At 43.6% G+C, this 27,015-nt stretch overlaps 1 protein-coding gene and 1 long non-coding RNA gene across 6 annotated transcripts, besides 4 other annotated features; one reads left to right on the top strand and one right to left on the bottom strand.

Moving 5' to 3' along the window:
• H3-3A (H3.3 histone A) lies at positions 1,327-11,515 on the bottom strand. 5 transcript variants are annotated; one of them, NM_001379043.1, is made up of 5 exons: positions 11,252-11,515; positions 10,535-10,611; positions 8,867-9,012; positions 7,537-7,690; positions 1,327-1,995 (listed from the first exon to the last, which is right to left on the bottom strand). In NM_001379043.1, exons 3-5 carry the CDS (start codon positions 8,992-8,994, stop codon positions 1,867-1,869), a joined length of 411 nt encoding a protein of 136 aa, NP_001365972.1. In that variant the 5' UTR covers positions 8,995-9,012; positions 10,535-10,611; positions 11,252-11,515; the 3' UTR covers positions 1,327-1,866. The 5 variants fall into 5 exon arrangements, with proteins under 5 accessions (NP_001365972.1, NP_001365975.1, NP_001365974.1 ...); NM_001379046.1 differs by lacking the exon at positions 11,252-11,515 and adding an exon at positions 10,962-11,076 and having other exon boundaries at positions 8,867-9,017; NM_001379045.1 differs by lacking the exon at positions 11,252-11,515 and adding an exon at positions 10,962-11,076.
• Positions 8,959-9,028: an enhancer, noted in NCBI's record as "active region_2645". NCBI's record gives its function as "activates an Ori minimal core promoter by ATAC-STARR-seq in GM12878 lymphoblastoid cells {active_cell/tissue: GM12878}" and the evidence as "EXISTENCE:reporter gene assay evidence [ECO:0000049][PMID:35858748]".
• Positions 10,222-10,291: a silencer, noted in NCBI's record as "silent region_1870". NCBI's record gives its function as "represses an Ori minimal core promoter by ATAC-STARR-seq in GM12878 lymphoblastoid cells {active_cell/tissue: GM12878}" and the evidence as "EXISTENCE:reporter gene assay evidence [ECO:0000049][PMID:35858748]".
• Positions 10,662-11,511: a silencer, noted in NCBI's record as "silent region_1869". NCBI's record gives its function as "represses an Ori minimal core promoter by ATAC-STARR-seq in GM12878 lymphoblastoid cells {active_cell/tissue: GM12878}" and the evidence as "EXISTENCE:reporter gene assay evidence [ECO:0000049][PMID:35858748]".
• On the top strand, positions 10,851-27,015 carry H3-3A-DT (H3-3A divergent transcript). Its single transcript, NR_185887.1, has 2 exons — positions 10,851-12,356; positions 26,756-27,015. It is a non-coding gene; the product is annotated as a H3-3A divergent transcript (long non-coding RNA).
• Positions 10,910-11,075: a silencer, noted in NCBI's record as "fragment chr1:226249972-226250137 (GRCh37/hg19 assembly coordinates)". NCBI's record gives its function as "represses an EF-1alpha promoter that drives an FKBP-Casp9 reporter gene in an ReSE screen in K562 erythroleukemia cells {active_cell/tissue: K562}" and the evidence as "EXISTENCE:reporter gene assay evidence [ECO:0000049][PMID:32094911]".

Below are 27,015 nucleotides of genomic sequence, written 5' to 3'. Positions count from 1 at the left end.
AAGGATAGCCCTGAGCTCAAAACTACTATGCATATTTGTCAGGTCCTGGTAAACTAGGAATATATAAGAATACATGCCCAATATTAACATAGCATTGTATGAGACAATTCAATAAATTGACCAGACATTTGTGTACATACGTTGAGTGCCAAGTTTATCTTTGTGCTTTTTTCTATCTGGCTCATTTTATAATGTACAACTTACTGTATTATACCTGGACAGTGAGCACATAGTACTAAATATTTGTTTAAACATTGAAATTATGTTTAAAAAAAGAATTGTTAACAACCACTTCATGGGGCAATAAAAAATGTACTTTTAGAGCATTAAAACTTTTCGAGATTTTAGGATTCCAAGAACTCAAAGGACTGTATTGTCTACTTGTAAATAACTGGTCTTTATCAGATTCCAGCAGGTAACATTAACTTCCTCCCTTACTGGAGACACCTTTTTCTTCTGAAGTGTTTCATGAAAAGGCCATTTGGTCTTTTGCACTGAAAAACTGGATTGAACAGAGAACATTCAACTACAATTGGCTTTTAGTAACTTATATTGAGAAAGTTCCAAGTGTTACCCGTACTTCCCTGTAGAAGTACATGCAAAAGATCATACTGAAAACTAGGATGCATGCTAACAAAATCAGCCTCTTAAAGTAATTAATTCTCCCATTAAAGAATTTTATAGTCACCTATAGTCAAAAGATTAAGTTATGGCTAAATGTTTAAGAGCAGTAAGAATGCAAGCCCAGTGTCGTATCTTACTGACATGCGTCTATTCTTGGCATAGTTATTAACATTTCGTATCACTTCTAGGGCAGTTTCAAACACTCAAACGTTACAACTAATGGGATGTGTTAAAAGTCTTAGAAGGTTTAATTATCCTCATTTCACATTAATTGTACCAACACTAAATAAAACAGGGCTAAGAATTAACTATTAGTGCTTGAATAAATTCAGGGTTAACTAATAGAGCATCTTAAAATAGCCAGATCTTGAATGCATTAATTTTTGAGCTAAAGACTGTTACACACTCTCATTTGTTATTAAACATTCATGAAAGTTCAATCTACTTACAGATTCCACTATTTCCAGGTGATCCTGTTGATTAGCTTTTCGAATTATTGGTTCAGAAGACAACACATCCAAAGAGTTAAGACCACTGGGTAGTGGCAAGCTTCTAAAAATTAGAAATAAAGCCAAGTTCCTTTTGCCACCAAGTCTATACTTTCCTTCTCTCTCAATAAGTCTCACGTCTCAGATATAAAGTGACTATTAAAGGACTTAATACTGAAATTATTTGGAATATAATTGTAGGGCAAGGCTATAATAAAGACCAAAAGCAGGTATAGTTTAATGTATTTTAATAGCAAACTTACAGGAACAGCACAGAAGACAGACAACATTAAAAACATGTACTTGCATGTAGGACAACTCAGTTAGAAAAGTATAGTGAATGGATGGAATCTACTGTATGATAAAAATGCTACAAACACCATTTAGTTGCCATCAATAAGAAATTTACTTGTTTTAAAAAAATCCAAATGCTGGCATTGTCCAGAAAAATTTAACAGGTTTATTTATAATTATTATAAAGTTGAACCGCTGAAACTTGTTCACTGAAACATTTTAACTTGCATTAATGCTTTACGTCTCCGCATTTATATTAAAAATTCACACACAAATGAAAATGGAAAAACTGCCAATACCTGATTTCTGTCCCCTATTTTTCCACTCGCAATCATATACTTAGGTACCTTTTGACCCCATGGAAAAAAAATATCTAACGTTCAGAACTACCAATAACAGGAAGAAGAGAAATTTTTTTTTTTTTTTTTGAGAATGAAATGTTTCCCATCATAGTGGATTCTTAAGCACGTTCTCCACGTATGCGGCGTGCTAGCTGGATGTCTTTTGGCATAATTGTTACACGTTTGGCATGGATAGCACACAGGTTGGTGTCTTCAAAAAGGCCAACCAGATAGGCCTCACTTGCCTCCTGCAAAAGGAATGAAGAAAAAATTACTGATGATGTTATTTCCAATAGTTAAGACCCAACTATACGAATTAAAACAAAAAGGTTTTTGAACCCTTTAAAAAAATGACTGGGCAAGATGCTGACAATTTTACCAAATGCTTACATTTTACAACCTGTGGGACAAAGCTCAAAAGCAGCTTATGAAAAAAAACAAAAGCTTAAGTCAGTAAATCTTTTATCAAGTTACACAAATCAAATTACTTTGTTACTAGGAAACTTCAATTTTTCTAATGGTAACATGATTTCTAATAAACTGAAATGTCACAAATAAAGCAAGAAATCCAATTTAACACTCTCATTCTTATAAACGCAATCATGTCCAATCCAAATACCCCATCCCAGCCTAGTCTCCTCCTCACTCTGAATCCCATTCACACAGTATGTGAACCTCTGCCTTGTCCAGTAGTATAACATGGTGAACAAGTGGTTTTTATCACATGCTTCTCATCTATGTTCCCTTTCATACCTGTTTTATCATAAGAGTACTTTTGATTCCAGAACATATCACAAGTTAGTTCCGTATTTCTTTCTTTCTTTCTGAGATGGAGTCTTACTCTGTCGCCCAGGCTGGAGTGCAGTAGCGCGATCTCGGCTCACTGCAACCTCCACCTCCCGGATTCAAGCGATTCTCCTGCCTCAGCCTCCCGAGTAGCTGGGACTACAGGTATGCGCCACCATGCCTGGCTACTTTTTTGTATTTTTAGTAGAGAAGGGGTTTCACCATGTTGGTCAGGCTGGTCTCGAACTCCTGACCTCGTGATCCACCCACCTTGGCCTCCCAAAGTGCTGGGATTATAGGCGTGAGCCACCGCGCCCGGCAGTTCCTTATTTATTTATTTTGAGACGGAGTCTCTCTTTGTTGCCCAGGCTGGAGTGCAGTGGCAAGATCTCAGCTCACTGCAAGCTCCACCTCCCAGGTTCATGTCATTCTCCTGCCTCAGCCTCCCGAGTAGCTCGGGCTACAGGCGCCCACCACCACGCCTGACTAATTTTCAGTAGAGATGGGGCTTCATTGTGTTAGCTAGGATGGTCTCGATCTCCTGACCTCGTGATCCTCCTGCCTCGGCCTCCCAAAGTGCTGGGATTACAGGAGTGAGCCACCGCAACTGGCCTGGCAGTTCCTTATTTATATACTTTGATCTATGCCCCGGAAACATGCCCCTGTCCTCTACCAAGTACCTTCCTCTACGTACCCCAATTTGTAACAGCATTTGTTGCCCTCTAGTACTAGTATCGATTTCTCTGGTTTTTCCCATTTGACTGTAAGATCCTTTCAAGTTATCTTATTCCTACTACCACTTAAAAATGACAGTGTATGAATCACTCATTGACACTTAACTTGTGAAGAGGAAAAAGGGGCGTTTCCACTTAGAATTAACTCATAACTCAAATTCTTAGTATACTTATAGCTGTCTGAAAAGCTGAAGAATCTTTTAGTCTAAGCCAAAACATCTGCTTACTCTTTTTGTTTTTGTTTTTTGAGGTTTGAGTCTTGCTCTGTAGCCCTGGCTGGAGTGCAGTGGTATAACCTCGGCTCACTGCAACCTCCACCTCCCGAGCTCAGGCAATTCTCCTGCCTCAGCCTCCCGAGTAGCTGGGATTACAGGCATGCACCATCACGTCCAGCTAATTTTGTATTTTTAGTAGAGATGGGGTTTCACCATGTTGGCCAGGCTGGTCTTGAACTCCTAACTTCAGGTGATCTGCCCACCTCAGCCTCCCAAAGTGCTGGGATTACAGGTGTGAGCCGCCATGCCCGGCCTGCTTACTCATTTTGAAATGGAGAAATTACCATTTTAAAAAATAATCATAAATCCAACAGTTTTGGATCTGGAGCATGAAATGATAGGTTAGTTGGCTCTCTCTCCTTTTCTATAAGGAAAAGTTATTTCTCTGCTGAAGATATATTAAGGGAGAAAACAGTCTTATAGTTGCATTTTTATTCTAATAAAAAAAATTCCAGACCAGGTGCCGTGGTGGCTCACGCCTGTAATCCCAGCACTTTGGGAGGCCGAGGCAGGCAGATCACCCGAGGTCAGGAGCTTGAGACTAGACTGACCAACACGGAGAAACCTTGTCTCTACTAAAAATACAAAAAGTAGCTGGGCGTGGTGGCATGTGCCTGTAGTCCCAGCTACTTGGGAGGCTGAGACAGGAGAATTGCTTGAACCCGGGAGGCGGAGGCTGCAGTAAGCCGAGATTGCACCACTGCACTCCAGCCTAGGTGACAGAGTGTGACTCGTCTCAAAAAAAAAAAAAAAAGGTACTTTCACATTTCTAGCTTCATCCTTTTTAGCCCTATCACTACTCTTCTACAAGTTTCCTTCATTCAAATTGAACTATTTTCACGTGTGTTTCTCCAGCATTTGTTATTAACAACTAAGTCTTACTTATCTACCCTTTAAGGCCCAGCTCAAGACTATTCCATGAAGGAGAAAATCGCATACTTGTCTCTTGCTCCTGTTGCCAGTGCAGGCAACCCTGAACTCCTAGTTCCTTGGCACTCACAATGACCTTGCATTATCAGCCATTTTTTGGTGCCCTTAAGTTACTTGATAACAGAAATCTCATTTAATACTCCAAATGCCTTGTCCTCAAGTAGATTTTCAATATTTGCTAGTTTTAAAAAATGTTTCTATTCTATGCAAGTAGTCCCTCGCATCTTACCTATTCCACAGGTATTAAAAGCAAAAGTCCTTAATATTCCGAGATTCGTTCTTAAGATATTCTAGAAGTGGGTAGAAATCCTGGAAAAAATGGCATATTGTAGCCTCCTTAGGGGCTCACAACGCATATCAGCTATTATATCAGGAAAGAAAACAGTTTAATTTTGCTTAACCTGGCACCTCGGGATTACAGAAAGCTAGAATGCTTTTGTAAAATGTGGTACAAGCTACTATGCAAGCAAACCATCAGGCACCATGGTTCTGGTGGCCTTTCAGAGTGGTATCACTTAGAACCACTCAGATGTGGCATGTGGTAGCTGGGGCTCTCACTGCTGTCTTAGAACCTGGCTACTAGTTTATAAGGATTGTGTCTGGTCAGCTCTGAGAGGAGACTGAACTCCTACGAGAGGATCTGACCATGACCCATACATTTCCAATTTTATTACAAGTAACCCAAAGTCCCTTAAAACATTAAGGCTGTAATGGGAATTAAAGACTGCCACACTAATTTATGACCTAATGAATTAATTTTGATTTAATGGCAAAGAAAAAAAAGAACTACAAGAAAGTATTAGTTTAGGACATTTTGAGTATATTCAACGTCTGCCTCTTTACCATTTCAAAGCAACACTGTCCACTTAACACAAGAATATTTGAGTTCAAGTTCTCAGACATTAAAAGCAAAGACTATATTTTAAGTAAGTCAATTATTGATTATCTATGGCAAACTGAGACTAATTTCTCCTCTACCATTCTCACTGGACTGCCTGCTATCCTTTAGTTGTAAAGTGTGTAATTCTAAGGCCAAAAACAAAGGACCTTTGGATTTCTACTTCAATTGCGATCTTCTATTATCCTATTCCATTAACAAATTCTCCCTCTGTTATCTTTTTTTTTTTTTTGAGACAAGAGTTTTGCTCTTGTTGCCCAGGCTGGAGTGCAATGGCGCCATCTCGGCTCACTGCAACCTCTGCTTTCCGGGTTTAAGCAATTCTCCTGCCTCAGCCTCCCTAGTAGCTGGGATTATAGGCGCCTGCCACCACGCCAAGCTAATTTTTTGTATTTTTAGTAGAGAAGGGGTTTCACACCATGTTGGCCACGCTGGTCTGGAACTCCTGACCTCAGGTGATCTACCCACCTCAGCCTCCCAAAGTGTTGGGATTACAGATGTGAGTCACGGCGCCCGGCCCACTCTCTGTATTTTTAAGATAACTAAAATATATGCATAAAAAAGCAAACAGAAAACACAAAAGCTTAACAAAGATCACTCTTTCCAATAAAGAGCTATCTAACACTAAGAGAACTGTGGACAGAAGAGGTGAACATTTTGCTTAAAACCAATACAACCACACTTAATGACAAATATGTAATAGTAACAATGGAAGTTTACATGTGAATAATTTTAGAAAGATGAGTCTTTTACCCAGATTGTTTAGTAAATTCAATTTAAAAGGCTACATTATTGACATTTAAGCTAAAAACGCTACACTTTTCAAGTACAGTATTGTTCTTTAAGCACAGTTCTAACTAGAAAATATTAGCAGCTTTGTACCAATGCTTACGAATCTTAGTAACATTTCTGTATTTAGTAATAAATAAGAACTGAAGATAATCGGCTATTAAAACAGAAAATAAAGTTTTAAGTAAAAACATGGAAGATTTTAGTAGTTGAAATTTCAGCAACTCACTGAGAATTTAATGGATGCCTACTCCTGGAATTCACCAATCAAATGAAGTTTAGATTAACCATAGAAACAGCTCGACCAATTACACTTCAGGGTGGAATCCACCTATCCTATCTTTCTCATACATAAAGCAAAAGCCCAGCACAGCAACAGCAGCCTTGAAAATCCTCCAATGGAATGTACTTAGATTCTGGATGCCCCCTCCCCACCCCCAGAATGATTCAGGTCTGCAATGGTGCCTAACAATCAGCATTTTTAACGACCCCCAACTGCATGCTTCTGATGGAGGTGGTAGCTTTACTGTATTCTGGGATACTTGCAACTAAAGAATCCAACCACACAATATAAAATAGGTTACTTAAGTGACTGATGTTAATGACGTCTACATACCTTTATCAAGTATCTTGTAGGAATTTCAAGTTTTGGTCTTAACTTAAACCACAAATATCTCAAATACATAAATATCTCTAGAACAGTATTTCTCTAAGTCCTGACATGCTAGAGATTAAGATTAAATTCAATATGCTCCACATGTAAGTGGCAATCCCTAATCCCCTTTAGGAAACCACAAGGCAAATCCTGGCCCCTTTACACGTCCAGTATCACCTTTAAGCACCGTTCCCCCAATCTTGCCAATCCAATCCTATCCTCCACTCACTGCTCCTTTTACGTCTTAATGCATAATTTTTTAATACTGCCTATTCCCATCCTAGGTATTAAGCTCTCTCTACCTATATGTTTCTTCAGGACCTGAAGAGACATTTCTTTTATTCTAGGCACTGTTGTTTGAAATTGTTACTACAAATATAGACCTCTAGTCTCAAGTTCTTCTTAATGTCCTGCAGCATCCATAAACCAAACCAGAGGATTTTCTTTAAATATTGTTTTTAGTGCAATGTTTCAAAATTTTAAATGGTATAATGGAATGTGCACTAAGCCTTGGAGTCAAATAGGTTCAAATTATGGTTTTGCCATTTTCTACGTGTATGACCTTGAGCAATTTAACCTTTCTGAAGTCTCAACAGTGAAGTAACAATATCAACTACCTGACAGGCTTGTGATTAAATGATATAAGCACATGCAACAATTTGGAACTGTTCTTGGTACACAACAGGAATACAAACTCTGAGTCTTCCCACCCACCATTTTACCTGCAAAGCACCGATAGCTGCGCTCTGGAAGCGCAGATCTGTTTTAAAGTCCTGAGCAATTTCTCGCACCAGACGCTGGAAGGGAAGTTTGCGAATCAGAAGTTCAGTGGACTTCTGATAACGTCTAATTTCACGGAGCGCCACAGTACCAGGCCTTTAAAAAATTAATAAAGAAACTGTTACCAAAAACATAACTAGCACAAAAAGGTAAGTGGGCAGCTTCAAAGAAATGCAGTAATCTTTCAAAAAATAAGCCACCCAACAATTCTTCAGCTTCAGTATCAAATTTCACTGATCAACTTAAGATGTGAACATTCAAATCTAGTAACAATACCTTTAAAGCAAAAAGCATGAAATTAAAATGCATTCTTAGCAAGAAATTCATCAAAGCCCTATTTATTTTCATTTTAAAAAGTTATTCATGTATATAAACCTTGGGAAGGTATTAGCTGTCAGGCTAATGAAGAAGTTGGCTCCCCTCAATTTAGCACCACTCTCCTTCCCTACACCCTCTATTATCTTAAGAGCCCTTAAAGATGACCAACACAACCCAATGAACTTCATTTAAAAATCTGCTTGTGGCATTCAAGTTCTATTTCCCAGAATACCTCTACCCTGACTACAGTTCACCCCTCATCAACTATTAAATTTGAATACACCCGATTGTGCAGTGTTCCTTCCACGTGGAAAAGTTTTTTTTACTAAGTAATTGTCAGCAAGAAATTTACCTCTCATTCTGACTTATTTCTTCCACTGTATGAGCTTTTATTTTAGGTTAATCGTAATATTTGCGGAGGCTAAGTCTAGGCAACTTCTGCCCTCTAATGGCAGATGCCCTTAACAACACAGTGGCTCAGGTAGTTCACAATCAAAAGAGCTAATACAGAAGGAAATAAGCTAATCAAGTAAATGAGGGGGTAGGAACTTTATAAAACACCCAATCTCGATTATATTATTATTTTGCCAAAAACTAGGAAAGATAACCTCAAAAGTGTATTCAAGAAAGCAACACTTAACTATTTTTAAAGAATTACTAATAGTTAACTAAAATGTCAATATATCCCATTAACATTATCAGTGATATACGAGGTCTCCTTAGACCTCCAGGTAAGATTATGGCTTCAAAGTTAAACGTTTTCAATAAAACCTAATACTTAACTTTATATATAAATGATCATACAGTACATTTATTTAAGCAGTAGTTAAGTGTTCAAATGAAAAAAAAAAGTTTCTCTAAAGCAAAAAGTTTTCCTGTTATCCATCTTTTTGTTAAATTATGTGGATACATACAAGAGAGACTTTGTCCCATTTTTTTCCTGTTTTTTAATACCTGTAACGATGAGGTTTCTTCACCCCTCCAGTAGAGGGCGCACTCTTGCGAGCGGCTTTTGTAGCCAGTTGCTTCCTGGGTGCTTTACCACCGGTCGATTTGCGGGCAGTCTGCTTTGTACGAGCCATGGTACAGAGACCTCCTTACTTACCTACCAGCATTGAAAAATCAAAAATCACCATATGCAACTACCAAACATACAACTTTTCCTGCCACGATCACCCCCTCCCCAAATCTGGAAATTATGATCAGTATAAAAAATAATGTTCGTATTGTTATATAATTTGAAAGGGTGAAGATTACGTCTACCCAAAATCTCTTCTTGAAACAAACTAGAGTACTAGAAAATTGTTAGCAGTATCAATCACCTCTCAAAATGCCAATTCTGAGCGACAAACGGCAAAACAAAAATACCTCGAACGGCCTTTGATCCAATTTATTTAATTAAAGCAGTAATTAGAAATGTCTGTAAACATTCCATCCACAAACAAGTCAAAAGAAAAAAGGCACAAACCACTGGAAGGTCGAGTCAAATTACAGCAAAAAAAAGGTCTTACTCCCCCCCACTTTGGCTGCCCCCCCTTCGTCTGACTGTTGATGGATTGCTGTAAATATCTGAAAATATTCTTGGTTTTGCATCTTTACAGTTATGTTGACAAAAAGGCGTCTCGAAAAAACAAGAGAGGAACAACAGCTACCACCAGCGAGCATTCTACAAAGCCCCGTCCTCGCGTCCAGTCCTCACAGGCTTCGCAGTGAAATAAAAAGTGCCCCGCACCCAGGCTTTAATTAACGCACGACATCCGCCGACCGGTCCACCCCAAGCACCACATAAACTTTTGGTTTTGCCTCCTTCGGGTCCCTCGGCACAGGGTCCCCCAACCTGCCCGCCTCGCTCCCAGCGCCTCGAGCAGGAACCAACTCGGCTCCCCGACCAGAACAAAATGGAAACAATCGCAAAACGTATCCGATTCCGTTCCAAAGAGACAAAACACCAAATCGCTCGAAAATACCCCTATCCCCTGCCACGTGCCGCCCTCCAAAATGCAAAAGTTTTTTTTGCATTTCAAATGCATCAAGTTTCCGCCTCTCCAAAAAAGGGAAAAAAACGTCCCTCTTTTAAAAATTCTTGCTTTTTTGAAATGGGGAAGAGAGAAACGGGGGAAAAAATATGGTCGGTGACCAGAGAAGAGAGACAAGATGGTGAAGCTTAGCAACAACTGTGGGGAGGCAGCAAAAAGCGAGTTACCCCAGGGTGCGAAGCGGCGGCGATTTCCACCCCTTTCCCGCTCGAAAACTGGGGGCTGGGGCCCGGGGGCGGTAGTTAAGAGGCCCGCGCGGGTCATGGTGAAGGTTTGGGGTCCGGGGAAGGGGCGGCGGGCGGGATTTCACCGAAGAAAGAGGAGCCAGGGGCGCGGGGAGGAGGAGGGAGAGCAGGCTCGGCGCCGCGGCGGTTGCTGCTGTTGGGCTGAGGCGGCGAGAGACGGGGGAGCCGCCGCCGCCAGAGGGAACAGGGAAACTCGCTCCTCACCTCCATTTCTGGGCCAAAAAGTTTGTGGGCTAAGCCGGAGGGGCTATGGGTCCCCTCCCGGCACCGCCAGGGCCCGGCTCGGGGCTGACGGCAAGCGGGGCTCGGTTCCGGGGAAGCGGGCAGACGGGGAAACTTACCCCCCTTCTCCTTCGGCTGGAGCTCGGCGAGCGAGAGGCGGCGCTGGCGTTGGAGAGCGACGGCGGCGCGGCGGCGGCTGCGAACACAATTGAAAGATGGCTGACACCGAGGCTATCCCCCAACACACGCCGCCCCGCCCCCGCGCCGCGCGCCAGCCAATCACACACAATGGAGGGAAGGCTCGGCCCCGCCCCCATAGCTCCTCTCGCGCCCCGCCCCCGCCCTTCCCCCCGCGCGCCCGTTCGCTGGCGCGCGCTCGCCCCTCCCCCGCGCGCCGCCCGCTCCCTCCTCCAGGCCGCCTCGCGCCGTGTGTGTACAAACACAAAAGACACGCTGAGGGGCCGCCGGCTCCCGCCGAGACTGCCGCCCGCACCCGGCCAGCCCCCGCCCCCGGCCCTGCACTCCCATCCCGCTCCGTGTGCGCACGGCGTCGAACCCCCGAAGCCCGGGTTTGGGGCGCCCGGAGGGAAGTGGGGGGAGGGGAAGGCGGGCGGAGGCGCGGCGGGTGAACGCCCGGCCTGCGGGCGTCTCGGGCCGCGGCGGGGAGGGGAGGGAGGGGCTGCCCCCGCGCGGGCCCCGGCGCGCGCCCCCGAGGAGACCCGGGCGGCAGTGGGGGAGGAGGACGCGGTCGGCCGGGTCGCCGCGCCCCATTGGAAAACGCTCCCCAGCAGGAAGCTGGCAAATAGGAATCCAGCGTCCCGCGCCCGCTGTCGGACCTGGCCGCTGCGGCAGCGGGAGGGGCGGACCGACGGCCTCCTTCCCGCCTGCGCGCTCGGCCAAGTGCGGCCGGGTCCTGCGGGACCGGCCCGAGTCCGCCGTAGACAACTTGATCCGCTAAGACTCCTGGGCCGGCCGCCTGCGTGCAGGGCAGCCCCTCGCCGGTGTTGGCCTCCGGGATCAGGGGACGGGGCTCGCTCTCCTCCCGGGCCCGGGCCCCCGACGCAAGATGGCTGTGTCGCGTCGGCCTCTAAACAATGTGTGGAGCGCGCAGCTCCTGCACCAGGGCCTGGTGGCTTGTCCTGCCCGCCCGTGGGGGCCGTGTGATCTGTTTTCGGTAGGATTGCTTTGGAAAGGAATTGCCGAATATAGATAGTCAAATGTCCGCAGCTTCTGCATAGTTTAGAAGAGGCTGAAAACGGCAGAAAGAAGGCAAACGTGGTTTGGGAATTAGTACATATACCTGTTTTCCAATTCTCAGTAGCATAGGAAACGGACTTTTCATGGCCCAAGTTATCCTCACGACTTGTCAGTTGATTGGCTTTGGAACCTCTGAACCGTCCCTAGATGGTATTGACGCTTCACAACTGTGTGTAAAGGTTTTCAATGGAAGGGTCATGCAAATATCCCGTAGGGTAGTGAAGGAGGAAAATTTCATAAATGAAGGGCAGTAATTATTTGTAATCTGAAGATCTCACAAAGCGGCTTAGTGATAAACATTATCCCGAAACAGATACATGGAAATCAGATACGAGGGAAGAAATGGATTTGTCCAAGGTCACTTAAGTGAGGAAGAGACCTAGGAGAAACAAACAGACAAAAATCCAGGCCTCCCGTTTCATTATTATTTCATGAATGTTAAGTGTCCATGGTTGCTGTGCAGAACACATGCAATCTCTAATCCTATCCTAAAAGCACATATGCAATCAGCTTGGACCGAGCTGCCAGCAAAGAATTTCCTATAATTCAAGCCAAGATGAGTTATTTTGCTTGTTTTTTGTTTTGTTTTCAGGAAACCGAAATATTTATTGTTGGATTTATCCAGGAAGGCTGTTCTGCATTAGTTAAATGCATCATATCTTCAAGAAATGTTAAATGACATGGGTAATGTTTTCTTTGTATGCTGGATTTTTCAATAGCTTCTACTTCTTGGCTTTAAAAAATATTTCTAACCAAGGGTCAGACCATTTTAGGTAGAGTAATTATGATCTTAGATGATTTGAACTAACTCAGCTGTCTGTCCATTTGTGAAATGGGAATAATAATATTTATCTCTATGAAGTTAGGCCACAAATTCTTTCTAGTAGGTTCAAGTATTTAAGCACCTGGAGAGGTGACTGGTTACCCTCCTAGTGGCTTCAGGAAGTTTTCTCACTGAATGAATATTTATTGAGTGCCAACTCTGCTCAGCACAATTCAGGGGTGCTGGGAATGCAGCAGTGAATAACACAAGCAGTGTTCCTGCCCTCATGGGGCTTATGATCTCTGGAAGCACTGCTTTGCACAGGGAAGTAGCACCAGGAGGGGGTAAAGAAAGAGGGACTTTGGAGCCCCAAGATTGGCAAAAACTATAGCTAATGAGAGAGGTGAACTGTAGAGTCTAGATAATGGGGAAGGAGAGGTGCCAGAGCAAGAAGGGATTCTCACAGGGCCCTACGGGTCAGTCCTGAATTGGCTTTACTAGAACTCAGGCCCAGCACAATGGCTCACATCTGTAATCCCAGCGCTTTGGGAGGCCGAGGTGGGTGGATCACTTGAGATCAGGAGTTTGAGACCAACCTGGCCAACCTGGAGAAACCCTGTCTCTACTAAAAATAAAAATTAGCCGTCATGGTGGCACACGTCTGTAATCCTAGCTACTTGGGAGGCTGAAGTGGGAGGATTGCTTGAATTTGGGAGGTGGAGGTTGCAGTGAGCCGAAATTTTGCCACTGCACTTCAGCCTGGGCAACAGTAAGACTCCATCTCAGAAAAAAAAAAAAATAGAATTCTTGGGCTAATAATGGCCTCAACATTTGCAGTTAAAAAAGAAATGGGGAGGATGGGAGCAAAAGGTTTTAAGTTAAAATATTTTCCTTAGAATAGAGTACTTATGGCCATGAATTTAGATTTGTTTATAAGTAGAAAAGTAGAATGGAAAGGATTTTAAAAGCAACGCTATTCATATCTGCTTGGCTCCTGTCAATCAACTGCAAAGATTACTGCCTCATGGAGATGCTTCTGGTCACTGTAATGCTATCTCCATGCACACTTTATCACATTGATTTCACATCACCTTTTTATCACATTGATTTACATCTATCATTTGTTCACTTGCTTATTGTCCAGTTCCTCCCCAAAGAATATAACCTCTGAGGTAATGGTGGTCTTGTCTGTTTTTTCTCCTGTCCCTGATCATTTGCTGTACCTTTTTATTAGGTGATCTCATCCAGTTACATGGAAATTATCATGTAGAAAAATAGAATAAAACAATGAACCCCTTGTACCCATCTTTAGAAATTACTGACTCATGACCAATATTGGGTTCCCTCTATACTCTACTCACTTCTACCTCACCGATTTGAATTATTTTGAAGCAAATCCCAGCCTGCATTATTTCATCTGTAGATAATTTAGTATGTATCATAGGAGTCAAATAGATGATTGATGTGCCCCTTAAATCTCTTATAATCTACAGATTCTTTCTCTGTATTTGTACTTTGTTGAAAAATATGGATTGGCCAGGCGTGGTGGCTCACACTTGTAATCCCAGCACTTTGGGAGGCTGAGGTGGGCTGATCACTTGAGGTCAGGAGTTGGAGACCACCTTGGCCAACATGGCGAAACCCTATCTCTACTAAAAATACAAAAATTAGCCAGGCGTGGTGGCTCACGCCTGTAGTCCCAGCTACTTGGGAGGCTGAGGTAGGAGAATTGCTTGAACCCCAGGAGGCGGAGGTTGCAGTGAGCAGAGACTGCGCCACTGCACTCCAGTCTGGGCGACAGAGCAAGACTCCGTCTCAAACAAAAGAAAAATATGGATCATTTATCCTGAGGCTTTGGATCCACACTGTCTAAAACTGTCCTTTCCCTCAGTCTTGTCCAGTAAATAGCACTACCATTTACTCAACTCAAACCAAAAAGTACAGACAGCCTCCTTGAGCCTCTTTTTCTTTCACCCCGATAGCCAGTCTATTGGTCTTGCTCTGAAATGCTTATCAGAATGACCTACTCCTCTTCTCATCTCTTACCTGCCCTTCAACAGTAACTTTCTGTATGACCTTTCTCTTTCCACTCCTGCACCTCTGTATTTTATTTGCTACCAAGCAGACACAGATTAGATTATAGAATATAAATCAGATTAGGTTGCATTCTTGCTTAATCCATTCAGTGGCCTCCCACTGCTCTTGGTTAAATTCCACATGTGTGGGCCCTGGCATTACCCCTCTTTCCCCTCCGCACTGTGCTGCAGACTAGCCACCCCTGGTCCATCAAGTCCTCCTCTGCCTTAGGATCATTGCATCTGTTCTTTCTGAAGCTTGAATTCTCTTCCACCAGCTTTTGATAGGACTGTCTCACCATCTTCTAAGGCAAACTTTCTAACCTTTCCCATGTCATTTTCTTCTTAGAAAATGATCATATTTGGCCAGGTGCAGTGGCTCACACCTCTAATCCCTGCACTTTGGGAGGCCGAGGTTGGTGAATCACCTGAGGTCAGGAGTTCGAGACCAACCTGGCCAATATAATGAAACCCCGTCTCTACTAAAAATATAAAAAATTAGCCAGGCATGGTCGTGGGCACTTGTAATCCCAGCTACTTGGGAGGCCTGAGGCAGGAGAATCACTTGAACCCGGGAGGTGGAGGTTGCAGTGAGCTGAGATCACACCACTGCACTCCAGCCTGGGCAACAAGAGCGAAACTCCATGTCAAAAAAAAAAAGAAGAAAATGATCATATTTGTAAGTTGCACCGAGGATTAGTGGAGGGTATTTGGAGCCACTCATATGGAACTTGATTTTTAAATTTGGGCTTGGCATGGTAGCTCAAGCCTGTAATCCCAGCACTTTTTTATTTGTTTGTTTGTTTATTTTTTTTTTTTTTGAGACAAGAGTTTTGCTCTTGTTGCCCAGGCTGGAGTGCAGTGGCTCGATCTCGGCTCACTGCAACCTCTACCTCCCGAGTTCAAGCGATTCTCCTGCCTCAGCCTCCTGAGCAGCTGGGATTACAGACATGCACCACCAGTTCTGGCTAATTTTGTGTTATTAGTAGAGACCGGGTTTCTCCATGTTGGTCAGGCTGGCCTGGAACTCAACCTCAGATGATCCGCCTGCCTCAGCCTCCCAAAGTGCTGGGATTACAGGTGTGGGCCACTGCGCCTGTAATCCCAGCACTTTTGGGACGCCAAAACAGGCAGATCACCTGAGGTCAGGAGAAGACCAGCCTGGCCAACATGGAGAAACCCCGTCTCTACAAAAATAAGCTGGGCATGATGGCGGTTGCCTGTAATCCCAGCTACTCAGGAGGCTGAGGCAGGAGAATCCCTTGAACCCAGGAGGTGGAGGTTGCAGTGAGCTGAGATCACGCCATTGCACTCCAGCCTGGGCGACAGAGTGAGACTCCATCTCAAAAATATAAATAAATAAATAAGCAAACAAGAAACTTAAAAAATAAATATAAAATTCATTACAGGCATACTTCATTTTATTGTGCTTCACAGATGTGTTACTTACTATTTGAAGGTTTGTGGCAACCCTGCTTTGAGCAAGTCATTTTTCTAATAGCATTTTGGTAATTCTCACAGTATTTCAAACTTTTCCATTACTATTTTTTCTTTTTTTGAGACAGAGTCTCACTCTGTCGCCGAGGCTGGAGTGCAGTGGCACTGTGTCAGCTCACTGCAACCTCCGTCTCCTGGGTTCAAGCAATTCTCCTGCCTCAGCCTCCCGAGTAGCTGGGTTTACAGGCGTCCACCACCACACCTGGCTAGTTTTTATATTTTTAGTAGAGACGGGGTTTCACCATGTTGGCCAGGCTGGTCTTGAACTCCTGACCTCAGGTGATCTGCCTACCTCGGCCTCCCAAGGTGCTGGGATTACAGGCATGAGCCACCGCGCCTGGCCTTTTCCATTGCTATTATTATTATTCGAGACAGAGTCTCACTCTGTGGTCCAGGCTGGAATGCAGTGGTGTGATCGCTGCTCACTGCAACCTCCGCCTCCCAGGTTCAAGCAATTCTCCTGCCTCAGCCTCCCAAGTAGCTGGAATTACAGGCATGTGCCACCATGCCCAGCTAATTTTTTTGTATTTTCAATAGAGACAGGGTTTTGCCATGTTGGCCAGGCTGGTCTCAAACTCCTGACCTCAAGTGATCTGCCCGCCTTGGCCAACCAAAGTGCTGGGATTATTGGCATGAGCCACCACACCTGCCCTCCATTATTATTATTTCAGTTATGGTGATCTGTAATCAGTGATCTTTGATGTTACTATTGTAATTGTCTTGGGCAGCCACAAGCTGCACCTGTATAAGATGGCAAACTTAACTCCATAAATGTCCTGTGTGTTCTGATGTCCACGGATCAGCTGTTCCCTCATTTCTCTTTCTCTCCTTGCGCCTCCAATTCCCTAAGACACAATATTGAAATCCAGGCCAATTAATAGCCCCACAGTGACCTCTAAGTGTTCAAGTTAAAGGAAGAGTTGCACGTTTCTCACTTTAAATCGAAAGCTAGAAATGATTTTGCTTAGTGAGGAAGGCATGTTGAAAGCCAAGATAGGCCAAAAGTTAGGGCTCTTACACCGAACAGTTAACCAAGTTGTGAAGGCAAAGGGAAAGTTCTTGAAGGAAATTAAAAGTGCTACTCCAGTGAGTACCTGAATGTTAAGAAACAGAACAGCCCTCTTGCTGATATGGAAAACATTTTAGTGGTCTGGACAAATCAAACCAGCTACAACATTCCCTTAAGCTAAAGCCTAATCCAGATCACAGTCCTAGCTCTCTTCAATTCTCTGAATCCTGAGAGAGGTGAGGAAACTACAGAAGGAAAGTTTGAAGCGAGCAGAGGTTGGTTAATGAGGTTTAAGTAATGAAGTCATCTCTAACAAAAAAGTGCAAGATGAAGCATAGGTGATCCAAAAGATCTAAGATAATTGATGAAGGTGGCTACACTAAACAACAGATTTTTGTTGAAGATGAAACAGTTTCTATTTGAAGGAGATGCCATCTAAGACTTTCATAGCTAGAGAAGAGAAATCAGTGCCTGCCTTCAAGTTTCCAAGGACAGGATGATTCTCTTGGTAGGGGCTAACACAGCTGTGACTTTCAGTGGAAGTCAGTGCTTATTTAGCGTTCTCAAAATTCTAGGGCCTTTAAGAATTATGCTAAATCTGCTCTGCCTGTGCGCTATATAAATGGAACAACAAAGCCTGGATGACAGTACATCTGTTTATAGCATGGTTTACTTTTTTTTTTTTTTTTTTGAGACGTAGTTTCACTCTTGTTGCCCAGGCTGGAGTGCAATGGCACCATCTCGGCTCACCACAACCTCTGCCTCCCAGGTTCAAGCAATCCTCCTACCTCAGCCTCCCAAGTAGCTGGGATTACAGGCATGCGCCACCACACCCAGCTCATTTTGTATTTTTAGTAGAGATGGGGGTTTCTCCATGTTGGTCAGGCTGGTCTCGAACTTCCGACCTCAGGTGATCCACCTGCCTCAGCCTCTCAAAGTGCTGGGATTACAGGCATGAGCCACCGCACCCGGCCTGAAAAAGAAAGTGAATTCTCATACAGCCTGCCTCATTCCTAACATTTATGAGAATATCTGAAATACCAGACAAGTTATCCTATTAAGAACTTTTTTCATAGACTGCTTCCAATTATATTATTAATAAGAAGTTTAATTGAAGAACAGATCAAACCTTAAGTGTGAAGCCTTTATCTCAATGATGAAAATTTCTAAGTCACCTCAGCCTAAAAATTCATTTACCTCTCTTGCAGTCTCAGATGGTTTGTCCCTCCCTAGGTTGCAATGTGAGGACTTAGGGGCTACATGGCTCCCTATTAAGACAATAAGCTTTCCCAAGTTCACTTTCTACACTGACATCCACCCACAGTATGACCCATCCTGTATACATTGTCCCAAGGCCTCATGGAGGGAGTGCTCCCTACTGTTAGTCTCCAAATGCAGCCCAGGAAGTCACCCCCTGCTGAGGTTGCCAGATAAAATGGTGCGTGGGCATACTTACACTAGAAAATAATTCGTTGTTTATCTGAAATTCAAATTTAGCTGGGCATTGTATGTTTTGATTTGCTAAATCTGGCAGACTTAACCGCCTGCTATAGTGCTGTTTCTTTCAACTCTCCATGGCCCCAGCTCCTGGTTGTTGACATTGTTCTGAGCTGTTCGTTAGCAGCTGAACCTGGCTTCCTTCCGTGGGCCTGAAGGGCTGCTGTCCACTTGCATTCTTGCCACATCCATCCTTCCCTTTCTAGCAAGAGAATTTTTCCATGTATAGGTCTCCATATTGAAGGTAAAGAGTTTCCAGACCCTCTCAGGTCCCTTAACCGTTGTCTTTCATGGACATTTAAAACTCTCCACAGACAGGGCAGAGCTTCATAATAGCTGAGATTACTCTGGTCTCCCTCCTAGATACTCTGCCAAGAAACCTACCCCATGGAGCTGTCAGGTTCTTGTCACAGTTTACTGTACAAAGCTCGCTGTGAAAGTTGACAGTGCCATCCAAGTTCAATTCCTAATTAGTTCTTCACAAAGCAGAACCTACCCAGTGACAATCCCTAGGCATAACCAGGATAAAAGAGGACCAAATGGGAATGGCAGGGACTTTGAAGTCAAACGGGGCTGAGTTTGAATCCCAGCACTGCCACTTATTACTAGGGGAGTATTAACCCCTCTGGATCCTAGATTCCTTGTCTGTAAAATGAGTAAATTTACCTTAAAGTACGATTAATAGTCCTACCTTGTTAGGTTGCTGTAAGGATTAGAGAGAATGAAGATGGAGTACCTGACGCAGAGTCCAGACTCCACTAATGATGATCCGTTGTGTCATACCCATCTTTACTGCTTTCAAAAGAGTGATACGGTCTTTATTATTACAACTTAAAATAGCTGTATTAATGCTTCCCAAACATGTCTGTGAAATGTGACCTTTTTGAACCATGAAGTTCAGGTTACCTTTAGGGGGAAGGTGCTTAATTAAGCAATAGCTGGCTGGATGTGGTGGCTCACACCTGTAATCCCAGCACTTTGAGAGACCAAAGTGGGCAGATCACTTGAGGTCAGGAGTTCGAGACCAGCCTTGCCAACATGGTGAAACCCTGTCTCTACTAAAAATACAAAAATTAGCCAGAAATCACTTGAACCTGGGAGGTGGAGGTTGCAGTGAGCTGAGATCGTGCCACTGCACTCCAGCCTGGAGTGGACCCAGTCTAAAAAAAAAAAAAAAAAGCAATAGTCACATTACTAGAAGCCCCTCAATGTCCCCAGTCTGTGAGGTAGAAAAGTAATTGCAGCATCAGGAGGGTAGAAGATTTCTCCAGACTGGTTCCATAGGAGAGAGAGAAACAGACTCTGCCAAGGCAGTCTTCTGGCCTGTGAGTGGTATCCTTCCCTCTCAGTCATCAAGGATGCCCCACTGCTACTCAAAAGCCACAGGAAAAGTTACCAGTTATGTTGGGATTATAGTTTTGTGTTTCCTTGAGGGTGATCAGCTCCTTTCTTGCTTATAGGTTTCTTTTTTTTTCTTTTTTTTGTTTGGACAGAGTCTCACTCTGTCACCCAGGCTGGAGTGCAGTGGCACGATCTTCTTGGCTCACTGCAACCTCCACCTCCCAGGTTCAAGCGATTCTTCTGCCTCAGCCTCCTGGGTAGCTGGGATTACAGGTGTGTGCCACCCACGCTTGGCTAATTTTTATGTTTTTAGTAGAGATGAGGTTTCACCATGTTGGCCAGGCTGGTCTCGAACTCCTGACCTCAGATGATCTGCCCACCTCGGCCTCCCAAAGTGCTGGGATTACAGGCGTGAGCCACTGTGCCCAGCCATGTTTCCTGAACACCCAAAGTAGCTTAAGTCACACATATTTACCAGGAGTCAGTGATGAAAGAGAGGTCCATTGTCATTCCAAAATGCGCCCTTTACACTTATTAGGAAATAAGGTAACATTATTTCCACAAACATTAAATGCGGGTGATACAGATATTAGTAAAAGTCTTTTTTTTTTTTTTTTTTTTTTTTTTGAGATGGAGTCTCGCTCTGTCACCCAGGGTGGAGTGCAGTGGCACCATCTCGGCTCGCTGCAATCTCTGCTTCCTGCGTTCAAGCGATTCTTCTGCCTCAGCCTTCCGAGTAGTTGAGACTACAGGCGTGAGCCACCACGCCCAGCTAATTGTTATACTTTTAGTAGAGACGGAGTGTAACTGTATTGGCCAGGCTGGTCTCGAACTCCTAGACCTCATGATCTGCCTGCCTCGGCCTCCCAAAGTGCCAGGATTATAGGCATGAGCCACTGCGCCCAGCTAGTGAAAGTCTTTCTATAACCACTATTGCCCCCATAAATTTTCTTCCTTTTCTTTTTTCTTTCTTTTTTTTTTTAATAGTGATAGGATCTTGCTCTGTTGCTTAGGCTGGAGTGCAGTGGCTCATAGCTCATTGTAACATCCAACTCCTGGGCTCAAGCCATCCTCCCACCTCAGCCTCCTGAGTAGCTAGGATTACAGGCATATGTCACCATGGTTGGATAATTTTTAAAATTTTTTCCCATAGAGATGTCACATAGAGATGGGATCTTGCTCTGTTGGCCAGGCTGGTCTCAAACTCCTGGCCTCAAGTGATCCTCCTGCCTCAGCTTCCCAAAGCATTGGGATTATAGGTATGAGCCACTGTGCCCAGCACTCCTACAAATTTTCATGTGTGGGTATGAAATCCCCTGACTCCCTAATAAGCCCAATGGTTGAAAATTTAAAGGTCAACATGTTTATCAGAAATGAGAAAATAGGCCAGACGCAGTGTTTCATGCCTATAATCCCAGCACTTTGGGAGGCCGAGGCAGGCAGATCACCTGAGGTCAGGAGTTTGAGACCAGCCTGGCCAACATGGCGAAACCCTGTCTCTACTAAAAGTACAAAAAATTAGCCAGGTATGGTGACGTGTGCCTGTAGTCTCAGCTACTTGGGAGGTTGAGACAGGAGAATTGCTTGAACCTGGGAGGTGGAGGTTGCAGTGAGCCACTGCATTCCATCCTGGGCGACAGAGCGAGACTCCATCTCAAAAAAATTTATATTATGTATAATAATATATGTATAATTTGTGTTATTACATTATATATTTTGTTATATATTATGTATAAATAATAACATTATTATTAGAGAGTCCATCAAATAGTTGAGAAAAACATAGCTAATATTTATTGAGCATTTATGGTGTGCCAGGCCCTGTGTTGAATGTTACATGTGCTTTCTCAATAATAATAATGTGTCTATTATTCTGCCCCAGTTACAGATGAGGAAATAGGCTAAGGAAGGTTGGGTAACTGACCAGGCTGGCAAGTGGCAGGGCTGGGACTCCACCCCGAATCTGCTCAGTAGCCCAGGCTCTGCTGTCCATATGATTCACAAGCATTTATTCAACTAAAATTAGTCACAGACAGTTATCAGAAATTTACCTTTAAAATCTTAAAAAGGGCCATATTTGATTTTTTTTTTTTTTTTTTTTTTTTTATGAAACAGTCTCGCTCTGTCTCCCAGGCTAGATTGCAGTGGTGCGATTTTGGCTCACTGCAACCTCCACCTCCCGGGTTCAAGTAATTCTCCTGCCTCAGCCTCCTGAGTAGGTGGGATTACAGGCGCCCGCCACTGTGCCTGGCTAATTTTTGTATTTTTAGTAGAGGCGGGGTTTCACCATGTTGGCCAGACTGGTCTCAAATTCCTGACCTCATGATCCACCTGCCTCAGCCTCCCAAAGTGCTGGGATTACAGGTGTGAGCCACCACGTCCAGCCTGATCATATTTTTACCTATCAAGAATTGGACCAGTTTTCTAGAGTGTCATATAAATATACTAATAACCTCACAACAAGTTGCTGAAATTAATAAATATATATGTATCAAAGATTATAATGCATAATGTTAAAAGCTGCAGTAATTTTCAAAGAAAGTAGTACCTAGATACAAGAGTCCTCCAGTAAGGAAGGTGAGTAACTACCCATTTGCCATGAATCAGCAGTTAGCCTATTAGTGGTGCTTCACAAATACTTTTTTGTCATCTTTGAGGGGTAGAAGCACTGCTATTCCATAGCTCCTAGAGAGATGTAGCGGCCAGGATGAAACTCAGAAGCCCAGGGAGCTCCAGCCGTAGGATCCCAGAGCTCAGTCTCTCTGCTCCCCTGGAATGTGTTTTTCCAAACTGCGGTGTGAGGCTGAAGGGCCAGCACACTGGACCCAGGCTTATGAAATGGACAAGACTAATGTGAAAGGGACTGGTTCTTTGCGGGTGCTCATTAAATGTGGTTTCCCCTTCTCTTATTCAATAAATAGCTATTTGGTTTGTGTCATCTCCTATTTATTGCTATATTAGAAAATAATAGCATCATTCCCACATACAGCATCTGTGACTAGAGCTGACAAGACCAACATAGGGCAACAGTGCTTTCTGTGGCATTTGCATAGAAAGTGCGCCCTTCGAATAGGCAGTATGCCTGGAGCTGTTTGGAGTTTAGCCTGAGACTCAAATCTGCAAAAGCCTTTTCTGAGAAAGCTACCCTGTTTGTGATTGCTACATTCCAGTTTATGTGACAGCCATTGCTTTGTTTCCTAGCAGTCCATAGATACATCATTGGAAATTGTGGTTTGGAGCATCATTTAAGGGTTTTTTTATTTTTTAATACGTGGTTTAAATGACACCGCTCTTCAGTTTATCATCTTCAGTATAGCATCTGTTTTTTATTCATCTTGTATCTGTACTTTACCTACTAAAGTAGGGGGCCATTGTTCAATGAAATTATCATGAAAATCATTTCAAAACTTTACCACTTTAGTTTGTTGGTGGTGATTATATGGAACAGACCCCCTCAGATATTGTTGATGACTGTATAAATTGATAAAACCTCTTTTGAAAGCAATTTGCACATGCATCAAGGATCATGAGCATATTCATACTCTGAGCCTATAATTCAGCATCTAGAATCTAAACCAAGGAAAAATAAAAATACAGAAAATATATGTCTAATGGTATTTATTGCAGATTTATTAATAGTGCAGAAGTATAAACAAATAGACATATGATTAATATATTTTAGTAAACCCCAAGTGAAATATCCTGCCATTAAAATGCTATCCTTAGTAAGTTTTACTAGAAATGTTTCTAAAAATGTTTTTAAAATTGTAATGTTGGCCAGGTGTGGTGGCTCACAGCTGTAATCTCAGCACTTTGGGAGGCCAAGGTGGGAGGATCACATGAGGCCAGGAGTTCAAACCAGCCTGTGCAACATGGCAAGACCCCATCTCTACAAAGAAAAAAAGACATTGTAATGTGGGTTGGAGAAAGTGAGATATAAAATTGTATATTTATTTTATGCTGGGAAAATTATACACAAGTATACCCATATACCAGGATGGTGGTATTATGGGTGATATGTTTTTCTTTCTACTTTTCCAACATTTTTAATAATGTGATTACATTATTTTTATAGTGGAAAGATTTTTTAATAATTAAAAAACTCGTAAGTGCAAGTAGAACCGTATGCCATTATGAGGAGAATTTTTAGAACTAAGGATACCAGGACACCTGGCCTGACTTAAAGCCTAGCAATAGGACACAGGGTTTGAAATTGAAACTATTCCCCCAAATCCAAGACATACACATATCCATAGATAAATTGGCAATGATGGCTGTAAACCAAAAGTGATTTGGGTAACTCAAGTTTATTTGAGGGAACCCCTCCAGACATTATGTTGGCAGGAACTATGGCCACCCATGGTGCCATACATAACCCCGGTACAAGCTGTCAGGGAACCAAATAAAATTGATATGCCCTCATGTGGCTCAGACAGTGAGTCTTGTCAGCAGTTGTTCTGCCCAGGAAACTTCTCTGTTGATAGTGTCATCATTCTATACAAAGGCAAGTCTGGCCAGTCCTAACTAACAGATACCAGTACAAAGGCATTACAATGTCTTATCCATGATTGGAAGCTTTTTGTTAGTGTTCAGATGACCACATTCTTCTACTTTTCCCCTCTCCCAGGACATTCACTCAGCCTGTCCTGGGAGAAGAGCCTTCCTCCTAGTCCCTGCATTCAGCAGTGCATCTGGAGTGATGGTGCAGTGGAGAATGTCTTGTTATTAGTTTCTGGACACTGTCTCTCTCTTTCTCTCTCTCTCTCTCCAAATTAAGTTTTAATAAAAATATATTGGTGAATGTCTTGAAGATTCATTCATTCATTTGGTCATTTCTTCATTTATTAAAGGATTCATTAAAACAAACATAATAGGCCAGGCATAGTGGCTCACGCCTGTAATCCCAGCACTTTGGGAGGCCAAGGTGGGTGGATCACCAGAGATCAGGAGTTCGAGACCAGCCTGACCAATATGGTGAAACCACGTCTCTACTAAAAATACAAAAATTATCTGGGCGTTGTGGTGTGTGCCTGCAATCCCAGCTACTCAGGAGGCTGAGATGGGAAAATTGCTTGAACCCAGGAGGCAGAGGTTGCAGTGATTCAAGATGGCACCACTGCACTCCAGCCTGGGCGACTGAGTGAAACTGTCTCAAAACAACAACAACAACAAAAACAGGCATAATTTATTACATACTGGAATTAAAGAACACAGAAAACCACCACCCTTCTTTCAGTTTATAGGCTAAATCAGGCTCACAGATAAAAATCTAAGGATCCTCAGCGTGGTATTCCAGAAATTGCTGGGGAAGCTGGCAGGGTTGGGGGGTGGTGGGGGAAGTGGGGGCCGTGATGGGTGTGCTTAGGACCTGGTAATGAGAGTGAGATGGGACCACATGTTCCTTAGGGAGTAGAGCTCAGACTGGGGAAGGGGAGAGGCTCTGGGAATTGCTGAAGGGAGTGGGACTCGGGTGTGGCCCAGGAAGGTCTTGGGAGGGCTGGTAACTACTGGTGAGCTGAGTGTAGCTTGAAACTTAAAGGGAGATTCAGGAAAGAGATGAAAGAAGACAAATGTCACATACTAGACAATTTTGCTTAAGTCTATCTCTTGAGTGAGGGAACAGTAGGACTGTTGCTTTTTCTTCCTGAATCCACCTCTGCAGTTTGGTCCCCTTTGGGTAGATCTGCAAATAGGGAAGTGTTCATGGCCACCTGCCCAGGAGGCTTCCTAAGAATTTGTTGAGCAAATTTCTTTGATACCCGGGATTTGATATTTGCCAAGAGTCAGCCTGAACAAATTCCTAACTGTTGAACATGAAAGCAGAATTCTCAGAGTTGGCCAGCTCTGCAAATTGTGTCTTTCCCTAGCAGAGAACTTGCAGTAGTACAGGCTATTTCCTCATCCACTAAGCACATGCTTGTTGGCCTATGTGGTGGTCTAGCCTTTGCATTCTTGCCTTTGAGAAGATTTCTGGAGAGTACCAGGCAAGATTCTTCTCCAGCCTAGGAGGTGGGACGGCAAGAGGATGGGCTCTCCAGTTCTTTTTTGTCTATTAATTCTACTCCTCCCCTTCTAGGATCTTCCTTTCTCTCTTCATCTCCATTCTCCCCCCTTTTTCTCTACCCTCTTATTCCCTATTCTGGCCAAATGGATTAGGGAGTGGGGAGGGAATGGTCAGGGCTGGAAAGTCCATTCTTATTTATTTTTCTCTTTATAGCAAATCCCAAGACTTCCTTCATGGAAGCACGTGGGAAATTACACCCCTGGGTTGCTGAGGCCACTTAATTTAAAAAGTAAGCCCAGTCTGGAGTGTATCAGTTGGGTGAAGCATCCATCCCTGGGGCATGGTCTTCAAATGCCTGCCATGTCTTGGAGAAAAGCTGGGGCTCACAGAGTGCTGCTGCCCCTGCCTTGCACACACATGTGCAAGGGTTGGTGGTGCTGGGGACCAGGCTTAGGTAGAAGGGAGGTCAGCCCTTCCAGAAGTGAATATTCTGAACTCAGCCTCTCTAACTCCAAATAACTTAAAATGAAAGATTTGTCTGGGAGCAGTGTCTCATGCCTGTAATCCCAAAACTTTGGGATGCTGAGATGGGAGGATCGTTTGAGGGCAGGAATTCAAGACCAGCCTGGGTAATATAGTGTGATGGTTAATATTTGGCGTCAACTTGATTGAAAGATGCCTAGATAGCTGGTCAAGTATTGCTTCTGGGTGTGTCTGTGAGGGTGTTGCCAGAGGAAATTAACATTTGAGTCAGTGGACTGGGAGAGAAAGATCCACTCTCAATGTGGGTGGGCACCATCCAATCGACCACCAGCATGGCTGGAACAAAGCAGACAGAGGAAGGTGGGATAAGACGGCTTGCTGAATCTTCTGGCTTTCATCTTTCCTCTGTGCTAGATGCTTCCAGCCCTGAAGCATCAGACTCCAGGTTCTTTGGCTTTTGGACTCTTGGAGTTACACCAGTGGTTTCCCAGGAACTCTCCAGCCTTGGGCCACAGACTGAAGTTTGCACTGTCGGCTTCCCTGCTTTTGAGGTTTTGTGACTCAGACTGAGCCAACTGGCTTCCTTGCTCTTCAGGTTGCGGACGGCCTATCGTGGGACTTTGCCTTGTGATTGTGTGAGTCAATTGTCCTTAATAAACTGCCTTTCATATATA

The sequence above is a fragment of the Homo sapiens genome, chromosome 1 (genome assembly GCF_000001405.40).
Source record: "Homo sapiens chromosome 1, GRCh38.p14 Primary Assembly".
In the NCBI taxonomy this organism is placed as follows: domain Eukaryota; kingdom Metazoa; phylum Chordata; class Mammalia; order Primates; family Hominidae; genus Homo; species Homo sapiens.
Note: the sequence above shows the minus strand (reverse complement) of the source record. Positions and strands in the feature narration are given on the sequence as shown.

Bases quoted from the DNA above. Each gene is read 5' to 3' on its own strand.
- H3-3A (NM_001379043.1), bottom strand. From the start codon at position 8,994: ATGGCTCGTACAAAGCAGACTGCCCGCAAATCGACCGGTGGTAAAGCA. The intron at 7,691-8,866 runs GTATTAAAAAAC...AATTTTTTAAAG, and splicing joins AAGAAACCTCATCGTTACAG to GCCTGGTACTGTGGCGCTCC. The intron at 1,996-7,536 runs GTAAAATGGTGG...TTCCTTTTGCAG, and splicing joins CAGCTATCGGTGCTTTGCAG to GAGGCAAGTGAGGCCTATCT.